This window comes from Homo sapiens, chromosome 20 (genome assembly GCF_000001405.40).
Source record: "Homo sapiens chromosome 20, GRCh38.p14 Primary Assembly".
Classification (NCBI taxonomy): Eukaryota; Metazoa; Chordata; class Mammalia; order Primates; family Hominidae; genus Homo; species Homo sapiens.
The window spans coordinates 11362156-11381365 of NC_000020.11; the positions used below are offsets into that span (position 1 = coordinate 11362156).

General features: G+C 41.1%; 1 long non-coding RNA gene across 1 annotated transcript in view, besides 1 other annotated feature; it reads right to left on the reverse strand.

Moving 5' to 3' along the window:
* The window catches only part of LOC105372529 (uncharacterized), a 117487-nt gene that overhangs the window by 52348 nt on the left and 45929 nt on the right, over positions 1 to 19210 (reverse strand). The window lies entirely within an intron of this gene.
* Positions 18419 to 18468: an enhancer, noted in NCBI's record as "active region_17548". NCBI's record gives its function as "activates an Ori minimal core promoter by ATAC-STARR-seq in GM12878 lymphoblastoid cells {active_cell/tissue: GM12878}" and the evidence as "EXISTENCE:reporter gene assay evidence [ECO:0000049][PMID:35858748]".

Here is a 19210-nt window from a genome sequence, read left to right on the forward strand (position 1 = left end):
TCCCACTACTATTCTGTGGGAGTCTTAGTCTCTTTGTCGGTCTCTAAGAACTTGTTTTTTGAATCTGGGTGCTCCCGTATTGGGTGCATATATATTTAGGATAGTAACTCTTCTTGTTGAATTAATTCCTTTACCGTTATGTAATGCCCTTCTTTGTCTTTTTTAATCTTTATTGGTTTAAAGTCTGTTTTGTCATAGGCTAGGTTTGAAATCTCTGGGGTTTTGTTGTTGCTGTTGTTGTTGTTGTTGTTGTTTGCCTTCCATGGTAAATATTCCTCCATCTCTTTGTTTTGAGCCTATGTGTGTCTTTGCATGTGAAATGGGTCTCCTGAATATATCACACCAATGGGTCTTGACTCTTTATCCAATTTGCCAGTCTGTGTCTTTTACATGGGGGATTTACCCCCATTTACATTTAAAGTTAGTATTGTTATGTGTGAATTTGATCCTGTCATCATGATGCTATCTGATCATTTTGCACACTAGTTGATGCAGTTTCTTTATGATGTCATTGGTCTTTATATTTCGGTCTGTTTTTGCAGTGGCTGGTACTAGTTTTTCATTTCCAAATTTAGTGCTTCCTTCAGCGCCTCTTGCAAGGCAGGCCTAGTGGTGATGAAATCCCTCAGCATTTGCTTGTTTGGAAAAGATTTAATTTCTCCTTCGTTTATGAAGCTTAGTTTGGCTAAATATGAAATTCTGGGTTGAAAATTCCTTAAGAATGTTGAGGTCAGGAGATTGAGACCATCCTGGCTAACATGGTGAAACCCCATCTCTACTAAAATACAAAAAAAAAAAAATAGCTGGGGGTGGTGGCAGGTGCCTGTAGTTCCAGTTACTCGGGAGGCTGAGACAGGAGAATGGCGTGAACCCGAGAGATGGAGCTTGCTGTGAGCCGAGATTGCACCACTGCACTCCAGCCTGGGCAACAGAGCGAGACTCTGTCTAAAAAAAAAAAAAAAACAAAAAGTTGAATACTGGCCCCCAATCTCTCCTGGCTTGTAGAGTTTCTGCTGAGAGGTCTGCTGTTAGTTTGATGGGCTTCCCTGTGTAGGTGACCCGGCCTTTCTCTCTGGCTGCTCTTAATCCTTTTTCCTTCATTTCGACCTTAGAGAATCTGATGATTATGTGCTTTGGGGTTGATCTTCTCATGGAGTATCTTAATGATGTTTTCTTTATTTCCTGAATTTGCATCTTGGCCTGTCTTGCTAGGTTAGGGAAGTTCTCCTGGATAATATCTTGAAGTATGTTTTCCAGCTTCCTTCCATTCTCTCCTTCTCCTTCAGGTACTCAATCAATAGTAGGTTCAGTCTTTTTACTTAGTCCCATATTTCATAGAGGCTTTGTTCATTCCTTTTTGTTCTTTTCTCTCTAATCTTGTCTGCATGCCTTATTTCAGCAAGGTGGTCTTCAAACTCTGATATTCTTTGCTCCACTTCATGAATTTGGCTATGGATGCTTGTGTATGCTTCATGAAGTTCTTGTGCTGTGTTTTTCAGCTCCATCAGGTAATGTTTGCTTTGCTCTAAACTGGTTATTCCAGTTACCAGTTCCTCTAACTTTTTATCAAGGTTCTTGTCTTCTTTGCATTGGGTTAGAACATGCTCCTTTAGCCCAGCAGAATTTTTTGTTACCCATCTTCTGAAGCCGACTTCTGTCAATTCATCCATTTCAACCTCCGTCCAGTTCTGCACCCTTGCTGGGGAGATGTTGCGATCATTTGGAGGAGAAGAGGCACTCTGGCCTTTTGGATTTTCAATGTTGTTTCATTGATTCTTTCTCATTTTGTTAAGTTTGTCTAGTTTCAACCTTGGAGGCTGCTGACCCTAAGATGGGGTTTTTGTGAGGGCTTTTTCTTGTTGATGATGATGCTGCTGTTGTTACTTTCTGTTTGTTTTTCTTTCAATGGTCAGATCCCTCTTCTGTAGGGCTGCTGCTGTTTGCTGGGCATTCACTTCAGGCCCTATTCATCTGGTTCGCTTCCGTGCCTGGAGATGTCACTCAAGGAGAAGGAGAATAGCAAAGATGGGTGCCTGCTCCTTCTTCTGGGACCTCTGACCTCAAGGGGCACCAACCTGATGCCAGTAAGATCACTCACATATCGCGTATCTGATAACCCCTGTTGGAGGGTCTCACTCTGTTGGTGGCATGGGGAACAGGACCTGTTTTATGATGCACTTTGATTGTCCCTTGATGAAGGGGGTGTGCTTTGCTGGGGGGAAACCCACTCGTCTGGGCTGCCCAGACTCCTCAGAACTACCAGGAGGAAAGGCTAAGTCTGCTGGTCCACAGAGACTGCAACCACCTCTCCTGCTAGGGGCTCAGGCCTAGGGAGATCAGAGTTCTGATTTTGCGTTTCTAATAAGCTCCCAGATGATGCCAATGCTTCTCATCCCTTTGAGTAGCAAAGATTTAGTGAACATATCTAATAGGGGTCCGTTAGTGAACTGATGAGAAAAGTGTCATAAACCCTAACTCTTTTTGTTATTGATTTTATTTGCAGGGGAAAGTGGATTTGGAAAACCTGCTGAATATTTTTGCTTGAGGCAGAGTCTTTTTTTTCTCCTTTTTTTTTGAGACACTTATAGACAGTGCCTCAAAAAAAAAAGTGGGGGGATCTTACCTTGTCTTTGTTGCTCACGCTGGAGTGCAGTGGTATGATCACAACCACAGCTTCGACCTCCTGGGCTCAAGCGATCCTTCCACCTCAGCTTCCCAAGTAGCTGGGACTACTGGCATGTGCCACCGCGCCAGGCTTATTTATTTATTTATTTATTTATTTATTTATTTATTTATTTATCTTGTAGAGATGGAGTCTCACTGTGTTGTCCAGGATGATCTCAAACTCCTGGGCTCAAATGATCCTCCCACTTCAGCCTCCCAAAGTGCTAAGAAGAATACAGTTGTGAGCCACCTTGCCAAGCCTTCTATTTTCAAATTGACCTTTGAATACAAGGAGAAATGTATGTGAATAGGGGCTATAAGTCTGGGAAGTAGATGAAAATCATGAAAGATGGGAAATAGCACAGGTTTTAAATCAGAGAACCCTGATTCACCGTAGCCGTTCTCCCCCAATTTTAACCTTTTTCATCATAAATAAGGCAACTTGCATTTTATCTCTGCTTTAGATCTGCATGTAAGGCTGCCAAGACACAAACATGGTACTCTAAATTTAAATATTGAAAGCTACCTGGCACTGGGACCATGGACATTTATCAGAATCAGGCCCCATTTCTGTGGAGACTGCATGTGAAACATTGGCTGACTGTACATCTCTGCATAATACAATAGCTCCATATTCTCTTCATGTCCTGTGTGCTAGAAGGTGTAACTAGTCCATTAAACGATGGTCTTATATATATATCTTATGCCAACTTAATGAGCAGATGAGAAAGTCGAAGCTGAGGATAACTGGGTCACAGGCCTATTTGTCCAAAACCTGTGCTTTAGATCTTTGCTACTGAAAGTGTGGCTGGTAAACCAGCAGCATCAGCGTCACCTAGGAGATAGTTAGAAATGCTAAATCTCAGGTTCCATGCCTGACCTACTTGATCAGATTCTGATTTTAACAAGATCCCAGGTGATCACTGTGTATTTTAGAGCACTGCTTGGGCACACTCTGACATATTGCCTCCTTACCAAGAAAGTATTTTTGCAGAGTCATTTTCTTTATTGGAAATACTTTAGCTCAGATCCAGTGAGACATCAAAGGCAGTCATTTTCATCACCAGCAAAGGGATGGTTTGATTGCTTTGGGAGGAGGACTGTTTGGCAGCACATCAGAGTTCAGGGGGAGCTACATGTGCTGACACAAGCAATCCCTGGCTCACTTGGGCTGGACTTGGGAACTGATGTGTAGCCATCATCCAAGAGTAAATTAGGTCAGACAGCAGGGCTTGCTTTCCTAGGGCCGCTTTTTACTAAGGGTGAAGGCCCAACATCTGCAAGGGTCTTCAAGATGGTAGAGTTAGATTAAGAAAGAGAAGAATCATATCTCACTTGGCTTTTGGGGATTCAAGTTTCTTTCTTTCTTTCTTTCTTTTTTTTTTTTTTTTTGAGACAGAGTCTCACTCTGTCGCCCAGGCTGGAGTACACTGGCGCGATCTCAGCTCACTGCAACCTCTGCCTCCCAGGTTCAAGTGATTTTCCTGCCTCAGCCTCCCAAGTAGCTGGGGTTACAGCCAGCTAATTTTTGTATTTTTTAGTAGGGAAAGGGTTTCACCATGTTGGCCAAGCTAGTCTCAAACTCCTGACCTCAGATGATCCACCCGCCTTGGCCTCCCAAAGCACTGGGATTACAGGTGTGAGCCACCATGCCCAGCCTCCAGTTTCTTTTCTATGAAGAAGAGATAATATGTGGCAGAGAAATTTAGCATCTGACTGAAATAGGAACCATATCCCCCAAAGGGTTTTGGACAACGTTGGACAACTTTAGTCAAGTCTGCCAACCTCCTTCTACTTGATGGGTTGAAAGAAGAGCCATTTATTATTTCTTCACAAATCTACAGGTGACCAGTGGTTCTGTGAATCTGGCTCAGGCTCAGCTTATCCCGATAAGGTGCTCTTATGAGTCTCCTTTCAGATCACCAGGATGATCTCAGTTGGGGCATCTCTGCTCTGGTCCATGTATCTCTCATCCTCCTGTAAGCTAGCCCAGGTTTGTTCATTTTGTGGCTCAGTGAAATTCCAAGCAAATGAGTATAAGCACGCACAACGTCTGAGGCCTAAGCTGACCTGATGGATTGTTACTTCAGCTGCATTTTACTAACCAAAGCAAATCAAAATACCAGTGTGTATTTAAAGGCTGGGGAAATAAACTCTACTTTTTGACTGGAGAAGAAGAAAGGTCACATTGTCTAAGGATATGATAACAGGGAGGGTAGAGAATTGAGGCCACGTTTGCAATCTGTTGTGTTCCTACTAACTGCCTCCCACTGGTTCTTTTTTGAAGCAGTCATTGGTACCTTGGTCTCAATTCCATTTTGTTGTTCATGGGCTGACTGCTTCTCCTGGCTAGATGCATTTGGGGCCACTGCATTAATTTAGGGGCTCTAGTTGAGTAATTTAAAAATGCAAACCATCAAATATAATAAAGACTGGTGGAAAAAAGCAGTTAAGAGATTGCATACTTTTCATATAAATTAAAATCTCAGTGGGATAGCAGTATATGCCTAGAACGTGCTAAATGAAAAAACAAAGCAAAACAAAAAAAACAGACAATTGCCATGTATTGTCAAGGATGTAGAATAATTGGAACTCTCATGCACTGCTGGTGGGCAGGTAGATCAGTACCACCACTTTGTATAACTGTTTGGCATTATTCAATACAGCTGAGGAATGTACATTTCATGAGCCAAAAATTCCTCTTCTAGGTATATACCTAGCAGAAATGTTAAATAAGTGCGCCAAGAACGCACATATAGGATTTTTTGTAATAGTGACAAGCAGAATATGCCTCATGGGTTTGTCAACCATAGAATGGGTAAATATATTATTTTATAGTCTTGTGATGAAATACTATATAGCAGTAAAAATCAAAGATTTACAACTCTTTATAACATTATGATAAATTTCACAAATGTAAGGTAAAACAAAAGAAGTCAAAAGAAGACGTGCTATATGATTCCATTTATTTAAGCTCTCAAACTGGCAAAACAAATTCATTGTATTAAAAACAAGTAGAGTGGTTTTCTGTGGGAGACGAGTGTCAGGGCAGGAACAAAAGAGGCTTCTAGGGTGCTGGTAACGTTTCTTGATCTGGGGGCTGCTTACACGAAGTGTTTGTGAAGTAAAAATTTCAGCATTTTACAAGTAAAACTACGGTACTTTTTGGTATGAATTCTATGCATGAATAAAATGGTGTTAAGAAAAAGTGATAGAGAGGAAATAAACCTGAGTTCAAATCTAGTTCTCCTCTGTGTCCTTGAAGAACATTCTTGACTTCTCTGAGTACCAATTTCTTCAGCTGCACAATGACGATCATTTAATATTATAATGATCTTTATGAGGATTGCATTTTAAGAGATATGTAAATCTCTCTGTGTCCAATAAATATTAGTTCCTCCTCCTCCTTGCTGTGGAAAAAGTTGTATTTACTCTCCTAGATGTGCACAGTATAGTGCCTTCCTTACAATATTGCATTAGATCACATTCTGAATGTTGCTTCCAAAAAAAGCTTCTAACCTCTTCCTATTTTATTACTTGTGAGTGTGCATATTATGAGTCCTGGAGGTTCTATCTTAAATGGGTTATCGCTTCATATGTCATTCTACCATCATGGATGGTGCTTAGTTCCTTCCTTTTGTTTCTGCTGATTCTTTTGCTGTTACTGCATATCTAAATTTTAAGACATTATTAACTGTCTTTTAGATCAACAAATTCCTCAAGGGACTTTACAGCAGTAAAGTTGCTACTTTAACAAATACAGAAAATAGTACAAAACCTCATTTTGTCTAATTTAAGGAGGTAGAGTCATTTATCCTTCAGCAACAAGCTGCTTCAAAATTATCCTGAGGCACAAATGAGTGAATTATGCAGGAACAGCCTGTCCTGGCTTCTGACTGTCTGTGCCAGAAGCAGAGGCATAGCACCCGTGGATGACAGGAGACCGCGAGAAATCCCAACTCGTTTCCTTTCCTTGTTCTCAGGCACTTTGGAGCCACTTCATTAGGAAAGAGGTTTAGAGGTAATTTCAGAAATTTTGAGAAAGTTGGCTGCTCCCCAAAGCTGTTCTCTGTGGCAATACTCACATGTACATGCTCATACACTGTCACACATTCGCACACATTAATGCCCATATACACACATGCACTGTCGCACACGCATACAGACACATACACACACATGCACTGTCACACACATACACACATACATTGTCACACACAAACACATACACACACACGTACTGTCACATACATACACGCATACACACTCAAATACACATATACACACATGCACACATGCATTGCACACAAACGCATGCACTGTCACACATACACACTCAAATGAACACACTCAAATACACACATATACACACATACACACATGCACTGTCACACATGCATACATATACTCACACACATGCACCGTCACACACACGCACTGTCACATACATACACATACTCACACATATACACACATACACACATGCAGTCACACACAAACATACACGCACTGTCACACATACATGCATACACGCTTAAATACACACATACACACATACGCACATGTACTGTCACACACATACACGTACTCAAATACACACATATACACACATACAAACATGAACTGTCACACACAATCATACATGCACTGTCACACACATACACACTCAAATACATATACACACATACACACATGCACTGTCACACACAAGCACATACACATGCACTGTCACACACAAACACACACACATGCACTGTCACACACATACACGCATATACACTCAAATACACACATACACACATGCACTGTCACACACATACATGCATAAACACACTCACATACACTCACACACATACACTGTCACACACACACTGTCACACACACTCACACACACACTATCACACACACACACGTGAAACTCATGTCTAAAGTTCCATGTGGCTAAGATTGGTTCTTGTCAGCCCGCCAATAATGAGACCTTCGCAGCTTTGATGAGTGGAAAAATACTCTAGGGGCTCAATGAGAGGAGAAGCTGACTTTGTCTATTTCACAATTTTCCGCAGACCTCAGCTCTGCTCTTTAGTATACCGATCTACAGGAGAAGCAGAAATCATGTAGGGAAGGACTAGGATCGACAGCAATAACCAGTGCAACAAAGCACTGGATATATGCCAGGGAATGTACTGTAGATTTCATGAATATTGTCTGTGTTCTCTGCAACAGCTCTGTGAAGTAAGCAGCACTCTTATCCCCAGTATACAGCCAAGGAAACTGAGCCTCTGAGAGGGAGACTAATAATTCAAACTCAAGTCTCCACATCCTAACCAGCGACTTTTTCTTAGGTATTTTACTGGAGTCCATTTAAAAAAGTAGTACTATGACTATATACTTAATATTTTGATAGGTGTAAGGAAGCAAAACTAAGAAAAAATATATGCATATGTAATGTAAATCATGAATACAGTAGAGCGGTGGTATGCTAAGATGGCATGGGGTTTAAGCTGGAGTTTTGAAAGAGCATTCATAGATAAAGGAAGTTAGAAAGGAACTTACTGGAAGGGATTGAGGATTTGGAGAAAATGCACAAATGACAGGTGACAGGAAGTCATCTAACTTCTTCTCCATGATTGGTGAGTTGATGTGTGAGACTGGAGGCCAACAGCACCTACATATCAGGATCACTTGCTCAGGTAACTGCCAAAATTGAAACATCAGATGTTACCTCTGGAGGAGGGAGAATAGAGAAGTAGAGAGAACACACCAAGGATTGAATTTGGGGAAATGCCCTTGTTTAGTGAAAAGGTGGACTAGGAGGGTCTGAGAAACAGGATTTGAGAAATTAAGTGGTATCATATAAGAATCCCAGAGAGTCAAGTTTCAAGAATATTGCTAATGGGCAAGAAGAAAAAGGATGGAGAATTCCTGCTTATCGGGCCATTTGATGATTTTAGCGTATGCTCTTGCTTGAGGTGGTGGATGAGGGGTTCTGTAGAAGGTGGATTTCAGGTCCTATACAGGGTATTTTGTGAGACTATGAATGGCATGATGGTAGGTTATATACAATTTGAAACATTTAAAATAATAAAGTGTTAAAGGTAGAAGACAGGAAGTTTTAACATTATTATTATTATGGTTTGATTTTTGTTTGTCTTTTTTCCTTGCCTTCTTGCTTTCTCTTGTTTTTAAGAAGAGAAAAAAATCTGTGCTATGGACAGAAAGCAAGAGGAAGCATCAAAGGTGCTGATGGTGAAGGAGGATATGCTATGAGACAAAACCTTGACAAGATGTATTGGACAGCAGAGCTTCTCACATTTGAACAAGCATAAGAATCTCTGGGAGAACATGTGAACGCAGATACCCAGGCCTTCACCTTGGGAGATTTTAAATGAGTAGGTCTAAGGTGGGACCCCAAAAACCTGCATTTCTGATGAGCTATGCTGATCCGGTGCACTCTGAGCAGATCCATGCAGCACTTTCAGGCTTCCTTTCTCTGCAGCTTTCAGCTTCAAGACACCCTGGGACTCTGCCCTCTCTTGGCTTTCTAGAAATACCACACTATTCTAATTCCTCAGTCTCATTTCCAAAGTCATCTCTTTCCTCTTTGTGTCCTTTTCCTCTCAAACTATGAGATATCCAGGGCTTGACTTTCTGACCACTTGCTTTCTGCAGGATACATGTGAAAATAATTTATATCAATATTTCTAGACGGATCCACTGGCTCCTCCCAGGCCATGTATTGTCATTCCTGCTATATCTACTTGGAAATCTCTTCCTAGTTGTCTGTGCCTTCTACCTTACCTGAAAAACACCTGTCCTTTATTTCTCCCCCAAATCTAGAGTCTTCCTTGACTGATGTGGGACCCCACAGTCTCTACCCCTCACAGTTCAACAAAGGAGGGAGTACTTGTCCGTTCATAACATCACAATCCAAAATGTGCTCCTTGATTGAATCTGGATTTGAAAATATCAGTGTTAAAAATATTTGAGAACAAGCGGGGAAATTTGATAGTGGACTGGGGTGTGTAAGATGTTATTAAAGGATTATTAGGTTTTTTTGAGTAACATATTGGGGTCATGTGGGAAAATGTACTTTTTCTAGTAGAAAAATAGACCTCCAAACTATTTTTTAGCTTAAATTGTCCTGACCCCATCACCTAAGCGATGTAATAGGGGAACATGACTAATTCATTAGAGTTGCTAAAGCTGTTTGCCATGCCACTGTGAGCAGTTTAAAGGATAACTAATAAAATATTAACTTAGGTGGCATGTCCAGAGGACACTTAATATAAGACTATTTTCTTTATTAGAAAAGTGAATATGGATATTTTTGAAGTCTGCTTGAAGATAATTCTGACTATTCATTTTTTTGTCCTGAACAGAATGTACTCTGAGGTTGAAAATGGTCTTGATTTTCAAAAATAGAGTAGTCTGGATATAGATCATAAACATGTAGCTGAGTGCTGAAAAGAAAAATGAGATTTTGTAAAAAGGGGATAATTTTCAAGTTGACAAACATTGGTGAACTTCAGGGCCCAGGGCCATTTCAGAATTCAGAGAGATTAACAAGTAATTACATTTTTATTGAGTGTCTAGGATTGACAGACCTGGGGCTGATGGATTCTTGGGAGGTTACAGTCTAGGTGAGTGGGAGACATGCATTTGTGGAATGGTCCAGACAACAGATGGAGTCACTAAGAGCTGCCAACACTGTAAAGCCCTGGTTTACAAACTTGACTGCATTTTGGACTCGCATGGAGAGGTTTAAAAAATACTGATGCCTGGGTCCCAACTCTTGTGTGTCTGATTTAGTTGCCCTGGGGTGTGTCCTGTGCATCGGATTTTCAAAATTCCCCAGGTGAATCTAATGTGCACTTAAGGCTGAGAACAAGTGTACAGAAGTCCAGGATCAATTCCAGCTGGAGAATTTGACTTCCTGGACTAGGCTCTGTGCCTGCCCTCGAGGAGCTCTCTAATTGTTTTACTCTTTCTCCTCCCCTGCCTCTCATCATTTGTTCTACTTAGAAATTTTTGTCTTTCTTGCTTGAAAGTGAACTAACCACAACAAACAAAGGGAAATAAATGATTATTACACCCAGGCAGCAAACAAGCACTACCAATGATAGAGATCTTGGTTTATGCAAGTAGCTCAGTAAACAAATGCTGTGTTAAAAGCTGAAAGAATGCCCTCCCTCTACTGCTAGAACAAAACATCATCCATGTGTCGGCCTGTGGTCTGATGAGTGATTCAACTTTCTTCCTCCGAGACTTTGTTGGTGTCTGATAGATGCCACTAGAGGCTATGTTCTATTCCAGCCTGTTTGAAATGCAAAGACTTGCGTAGCAAAATTATCTCACTCTAGGAAAATAGACAAGTGGTCAGTAAACTATGGTTCTGTGGGCCAAATGCAGCCCACTTACTGTTTTGTAAATCAAGTTTCACTGGAACATAGCCATGCCCATTCATTTACTTATTGTCAATGGCTGCTTTTGCACTACAGCGACAGAGTTGAATAGTTGTGAAAGAGCCTGACTGACAGGCCTGCAAAGCCAAAAATGTTGTCTATCTGGTCAGTTACAAAAAAAAAAAAGAAAATAGTTGCCAATCCCTGTAATATAGGCATTTTCATGCTGTCTTGTTAGCATTTGCCTGCTGTGGTCAATCAATTTGAAAAATGTCTCCAGTTCTTCACTCCTCCCTATATCTGTCTCATTTTCAATGTGACTGCAACTCCCCTCACCTGGGCACGGAGCCAGTTTCACCAGCCATTGCATCTGTGTTGGCCTGAGAGTTATTTTGACCTAGAATGCCAAGAAAGTGACACTGTATCCACCCTGAGCTGAGACTTCAAGAGGCTTTTCAGACTTTCACTTGCTCTGTTAGCATCCTGACTCTATGAATAAGCTTAGGCTAGCTTTCTGGATGATGGGAGACACACAGCCCAGGTTGCCCCATTGCCTTAGCCAACAGTCAGACAGTCTTCCAAAGCAGAATTGCCTTCTAAACTGCAACTGACCACAGGTGCATGAATGAGCCTGATCAAGACCAAAAGAAGGGCCCAGCTGAGCACAGCACAAATTGTCAACCTGCCGATGCATGGACTATATACATGTTTGATGTTTTAACCCACCACATTCGAGAGTGGTTTGTTGTACAGTAAAAGCTAACTGATTCACCTGTCATTAGGAATTAAGCCAACTAATTTTGTGGTAGGATTTCCTTTTTTCCTTTCTTTATTCAAAGCCAGAATATCTCAGTCTTGTCCATAAACCTCAATCTGAAAACAGAGAGAACAATGCAAAGAAAGAAAAACTTTATGATGATTCTATGACACTTTCACCAAACACTAAGAAAACAAACATAAAATGAACAACTTGGTTTTCAAACAGAAATAATAAATCTGTAAGGGCCCACATATAAATATATACTGACAGCATTTGAAGGTAAAGAAAAAAATATATACGTATATAAAAAATTAAGCAAGAATAAAACCAATGGTTGAAGAAATTGTAATAAAAAATTACCATGTGCCAGGCACTGGTCATGCCAGAGGTATGACAATGAATGAGAAGCATGAAGTCCCTAATCTCCCCTAAAGCACATTCTTGTGGAGAAGGACAGACTACAAAGAAGTGAACACATAAACAAGATATAATATAGCACAAACATTTAGGAAAACAAAAATGCAGTAATGTGATAAATCTTAGTAGGCTATTATATACACTTTATGTATATATATAATACAGGCTTATATATATAATATAGGCATATATATATTCTCTATTATTAACTTAATTTAGTGACAAACCATTAAGCTTCACCTTTCCATTAGATGCTTTTTCTGCCTAAAGGACTCTACACTTAGATGGCTGCATGAAGTATCTGGGTCTCAGTTAAATGTCAGTTCTTCATTGAAGCCTTCCCTGATGAGCCAGTTTATAATAGCCTACTAAGATCTATCACATTACTGGATTTTAGCTTTTCTGAATATTTTTGCTATATTATAGTGTCTGTTTATTTATGTGTTCACTTCTTTGTCATCTGTCCTTCTCCAAAAGAATGTGCTAGGGACTTCATGCTTCTCATTCATTGATGTATCCCCAGAATGACCAGTGCCTGGCACATGGTAATTTCAGTTACAATTTCTTCAACCAATGGTTCATTCTTGCTTCTCATGGATACAACATCATTTTATCTGAAAAAAATAAGTACCCCCAGTCCATGACTATTTTTGAGCAAATGAGGATAGTAACAGTATAAGATTTTTAGTGGCATTTTCAATGAAAGAATTATACAACAATCCCTGATTACTCTTTGTCTTTATGTGTCCATAATTTTACTGCTAACACTAAGAGAGTGTATCTTGCTGTTATCAACTCTGGCCACATCTTCACAAGTACATATAGCAGGTCACTATTTTGTTTTACAAACAGAAGTTGATTAAGTTGTCCATTCTGTAGGACCCACAACAAACCACAGCCCAATATAGCAGCAGAATGTAAGGATTTAGAAGGCCTAAAATCTACAAGCTCAGGAAGACACCCAATTAACAGAAATTAAAGTTCAAATCTGACTCATCCACCTACTGGAAATTCTGGGCTGTCAAACAATATCCAAGCTTATTTTGCAATCAGATTAAAGCTCTGGGCCTTGTGGGGGCCGGAGATTGGAATTCTATTTTAAAAAGAAACGTGTAAGGCACTCTGCTTCCCATCAAGAAGTGTAATGAGTAGGTTTCACCTATGATCCCCAGTCCCAAATGATTGAACTGGCATTAGTGCCAAAAAAATTGAAAATGTCTTAACATGCATTAATCGCTTAATGGATGTGTTGTCTGCCTGAAAAGGGCGGGGTGGTATTTAGGTTGCTTAATGACTTTACATTTTCCCATGGCAAAATACTTGTGATTTGATTATGCTGTAATTAAAGAGTTACATAAACAATATCTTTGGAAAGGAACAAACGGGCTTCCTTGAAAGAGGGATTTTGGTCAGCTCCAGCTGGTATCTCAGGCCCCTTCATGAGGAGAAAACTCTCACCCCCAGGTAAACTCCTCTCTCTGCCTCTTAGAAGTTGCCCTTAGTTTTATGCCTGCCTGTGTGTGTGTTGTGAGTGTAGATCATGGGAGATGGGGAGTGGGCAGAGGGAGGATTTTTTAAAAAATAAATGACATCTTTAATAGACAATTTTAAAACAGGTTGAAATACAAGTAATAAAGACAAGCACTTTAAATTTAGAAAAGGCTTGGGATCTTGAAGCCAAAAAGCCTAGTAATGAGAAACCCCAAGGGCAGAGTGGGATCTGTCTTGTAAAACCAGTCGATCAAATGTTTATTACTGTATAAGGAAGAACCTTTGAACTCATGTGGTTTGCTCTCATGTGTCCCAGAAACTATTTCCTCCAGGAGCACAGATTCTAAGTTTCTTAACCATAGGTTTCTCGCAACTTTTGGCAGTCAAGAGAGGTCTTTAGCAGGGAAGGTGGGCATTCCACCTTCCAAAGAAAGCACACCAGTCAGGATAATTTAGAAAGAAACCCAGAGGTTTGGCCTCAGGTTTACATTGAATCTTTATCTTTGGGTATTAGGAGCGCTTTTCTTTTCAAGTCCCTACTGCAATCCCTGCTTATTATACAGTTACAAGAAAGGTGGGAACCAATGAGAATAAATGTCAAATTATTTAACTATAGTTAACTTTCACAGTACATTTTCTTTTAATTTCCTAGATTTCAATCTTTTTCATGTTGTAATCTTTGCTACATTTGGCAATGAGTCATTCATCATGTTCACTGATCCAAGTTTCCCACCAATAATTTACAACCTATTCTTAAATAAAAATAAACATCAACTGCAACTTTATTTTTCTTTAGACATTTTCACCTCCTCAGCTTTCAAATATTAGAAACTAAATCCTATGAGCCTTTCATTTACTAAATAGCTTAAGCCAGCAAACTGAGCTGAAATCAACTTGCTTTTCCATTAGACATATTGGCAATTTTTCTAAAGCTGGAATGAGAGAAGAGGTCTGGGGTTTGGGGAGTTTGCCTTAGAGGCTGTGGTAGATTGACGCCATTTCTAGTCCTATTCATGACTTTTCTCTATCCCAACCTTTTGCACCAAGACTCTGAAACTCTTCTCACCAATAATTGAAGCCCATTTCCCTCACTGTTTGAATCTGGACTGCCTTGTGACTTGTTTTTGCCAATAGAATGTGGCAGAAATAATGGGAGGTCTTTTCTAGGCTTCAAGAGACTTCATGCTTTTCCTATCTGTCATAGAAGCTTCCACAGCTACCACGTGAACCAGCCCAGGCCAGCCTGTTGGAAGTTGAGAGGCACATGGAGACTTTAGCAGCCTCAGCCAAGAACAATATAAACCAGTCTAGACCCCTAAACATGTGAGGGAGCCCAGCCAATATCAGCATAGCTGCCTCCCAACCCACAGCTGACCACAGATGCATGAGTGAGCTTGTCTAAGGCCAGCAGAACCACCTGATGCATGGAAATGCATGAGCAATGAAAGATACTCATTGTTCTGAGTGCCTGAGTTTTGAGGTAGTTTGTTATACACTAGTATTTTACGGATACAAATATTTAAGAAAGATATTGTTTCTGGATCACTGCAACATCCACAGAGGTAAGCAAGTGAAGACACCAACATCCATATCATGTTTATGAAAGTACCATAGAGGAACATTGGTCATTAATGACAAATATGCAACAGATACTAATGAGATCTGAGACAGCTATTCTAGGAATAAAGTAGGAAAACCAACAGATATGGTACTCATCCTCAGGGATCTTACAGTCTATTGGAGATGATAGATATTTCAAATTATTTATGTTGAAGTGAAAGGGAAAGAAAAAGACAGTGGATCTCAATCCTGGCAGTACATTAGAATCATCTGGGGAAAATTAAAAATATACCAATGATGAGTCCCATCACAAACCAATGAAATCAAAATCTTTGTGGTTGGGTTCTGAGTATCAGTGTTTTTGGATGCTCCCCAGATGATTACAATGTGTGGTGCAGATTGACAATTACTGGTCTGCAGTGCTTTTCCAAGAGCAGTCGTAGACCACCAGCAGCATCAATCAGGAGCTTGTTGGAAAATGAGAATCTCAGATCCCACTTCTGAATTGCTGAGTCAGAATCTATAGATGAAACATGGGAGTGGCAACCTATATTCTGACAAATTATTTGTGTGATTCTTATGCAAGCTAATGTTTGAGAAGCACTGGTCTTTGTTTGGGGGCAGCCAAAATTGACATCAACTATTGATTATTTGGTACAATTGATGCAGGTCAGGCAAGCCCCCAAATTGGGGCTTAGCCCAGGACGGTTCATGGCTTTGTCCAGAAAAGAATTCAAGGCTGAGCTGTTGGTGTTAAACAACTTTTATTGAAGCAGTTGGGTACAGCAGCAGCAGAGGAGCCGTTCTCTCTTCGGCAGCTCTACCCCACAGACACTGTGCCCAGAGCAGCAGCTCAGAGGCAGTTCTGCACTCATATTCATATGCACTTTTGATGATATGCAAGTTAAAGGGCAGTTTATGCAGAAATTCCTAGGATGAAGGTGCTAACTTCCAGGTTGTCAGGTCATTGCCATGGAAGGAAAGGGGTGGTAACTCCTGGTGTTGCCATGGCAACAGTAAACTGGCATGGAACACTTGAGGAGTGTGCCATGTCTTTTGAAGAGGTGCTTACCCCCCTCACCTGTTTTAGCCAGTCCTCAATTTGGTACTCTATCTGAGTCCCACCTCCAGTGTTGTGCCTCCTACCTCACAATCACCAACACACTCACACACACAAGTACTCCTAAGAATAAAGTAAATTGTCAGCATTGTTTTCCTAGGCACAAAGGTGAGGCATATGTGTATTGAGTGTTCAGTAATTAATATGAGTGAGTTATACAACAAACTCATATGATACTTATTTTAACCTTGCTCATGATTTGAGTGTTCTGTTAGCCACTCTGTTTAAATTCTCTAGAAATTGTTCTCCACAAATACCAGAATTTACAACTTTATTTTAAGACAGGAGTCTAATGGTGCCATGTCTACCAGCATTTCCTCTCTTCTATAGTTTCCATCTCAATTTGTAATATAATATTTTAAGAGTTGTCCTCATTTCTGGATGGGCTTAGAGGCTAATCCAGATTTAGTTACCTTTGAAAGGGTCACTCTCCATCAAATTAAGGAGATCATATTCCAGATTTTCCTGGGACAGTCCTAGTTTATGCCTGTTCCCTGGGCATAATTATTAATAGCATCTCCTTTCACTCTCTGAAATGTCCCAGTTTAGACAATATATTATTGATTACCTTACCTAATATTAATAACTGCATTATCTTTTGGAAGAAGTAATTTTTGCCTTTTTAAATAAAACTATAAATTGCTATTAGATGTAAACATTTCTTGGGGGGCAGGGCCAAGATGGCCTACTAAAAACAGCGGTGTTCGTTGGCTCCATCGGAAAAAAAACATAATAAGCATGTGAATCCTTCACCAGCAACAAAGGCATACAGGTTCTCTCATCAGAACTGACTAGGAGGCTGGCGTGACCCACAGGATGAAGCAACAACAGTGTGGTACAGTGGCCAACCTGAGAGCTACATGGGGGACGGGGAACCTCCTCCCCCCAGCCAAGGGAAGTGGTGAGAGAGCGTGCTACCCAGCTGAGGAAACTGTGCTTTTTCCACAGAACTCTGCAACTCACGGATCAGAAGATCTCACTCGCGAATCCATGCCACTGGGGACTAGCGTCCCAACTCCAGAATGCACAGACTCTTAACAGCCGCTCAGCTGGAATCTGCTTAAGCCTATGGAACTCCCACAGGGAGAGACAACCAGCACCGCACTTCGGCTGCCTGCTGTCTAAGCACTTTGAGCTCCTTGGGGGAGGGGCAGCAGCCAGCACTAGGACTGGCAACCGCCAAACACGCTAAGCTCCCTAGGTGGGGGAAGGGCGGCACCCATCTCTATAGCCCCAGGCTGTGCTTTTCCCCTGCTGGAGCCAGAGAGGCTGGATTCCTTGGTCCTAAGACTTGTCCCCCACAGCCCAACACTGCAGCTGTGGCAGTCTGTGGCCAGAGTGCCTCTTCAGGCTTAACCCTGACCCATCCTTCCTCATTGGGCAGGGCTTCCCTGCAGGAACTCCAATAACTCCAGCCAGAGAGGTTCAGGGACAGAATCTGGATCTCCCTGGGCCCGAGCCCTTAGGGGGAGGGGTGGCCACAGTCTCTATGGAGCAGCAGACTTAGCCTCTCATCCTGGTAGTTCTGAGAAATCCAGGCAGCACAGATAAGTGTGTTTCTCCCCAGTGAATCATACCCTCTCCACTAAAGGACAAAGTTCTTCATTAAACAGGTCCTGTTCCCTGTGCTACCCAACTGGGTGAGACCCACCAATCGGAGTTGTCAGACACCCTATACAGGAGCAATCCTGCTGGCATCAGGTTGGTGCCCCTCTAGGTCAAAGATGCCAGAAGAAGGAGCAGGCACCCATCATTGCTGTTTTCCAGCCTCCTTGAGTGACATCTCTAGGCACAGGAGCAAATCAGATTAATAGGGCCTGAACTGAACCCCCAGTAAACTACAGCAGCCCTACAGAAGAGGGAACTGACCACTGGGGGGAAAAAAAAAAACAGAAAGCAACAACAGGAGCATCAACCACAACAACAACAACAAAAAGCCCCCACAAAAACCCCATTCACGGGTCAGCAGCCTCAAAGACTGAAACTAGACAAACTCATGAAGATGAGAAAGAATCAACAAAAGAATGCTGAAAACCCAGAAGGCCAGAGTGCCTCTTCTCTTGTAAATGATCACAACATTTCTCCACCAAGGGCACAGAACAGGATGGAGGATGAGATGGATGCATTGACAAAAGTAGGCTTCAGAAGATGGGTAATAAAAAACTACACAGAGCTAAAGGAACATATCCTAACCCCATGCAAATAAACTAAGAACATTGATTAAAAAGTTCAAGGAATTGCTAACTAGAATAACCAGTTTAGAGAGCAACATAAACCAGCTGACAGAGCTGAAAAACACAGCACGAGAACTTTGTGAAGCATACACAAGTATCAATAGCTGAATCGACCAAGAGGAAGAAAGGATATCAGAGTTTGAAGACCACTTTGCTGAAATAAGGCATGCAGACAAAACTAGAGAAAAAAAAGAATGAAAAGGAATGAACAAAGCCTCCAAGAAATACAGGACTCCATAAAAAGACTGAACCTACAACTGATTGGAGTACCAGAGGAGACAGGGAGAATGGAAACAAGCTGGAAAACACAGTTCAGGATATTATCCAAGAGAACATCCCCAAACTAGCAAGAAAGGCCAAGATGCCAATTCAGGAAATACAGAGAACACCATTAAGATATTCCATGAGAAGATCAGACCGGAATGCATAATCATCAGATTCTCCAAGGTCAAAATGAAGAACAAACAGTTAAAGCCAGCCAGAGAGTAAGGCCAGGTCACCTACTAAGGGAAGCCCATCAGACTAACAGCAGATATCTCAGGAGAAACTGTACAAGCCAGAA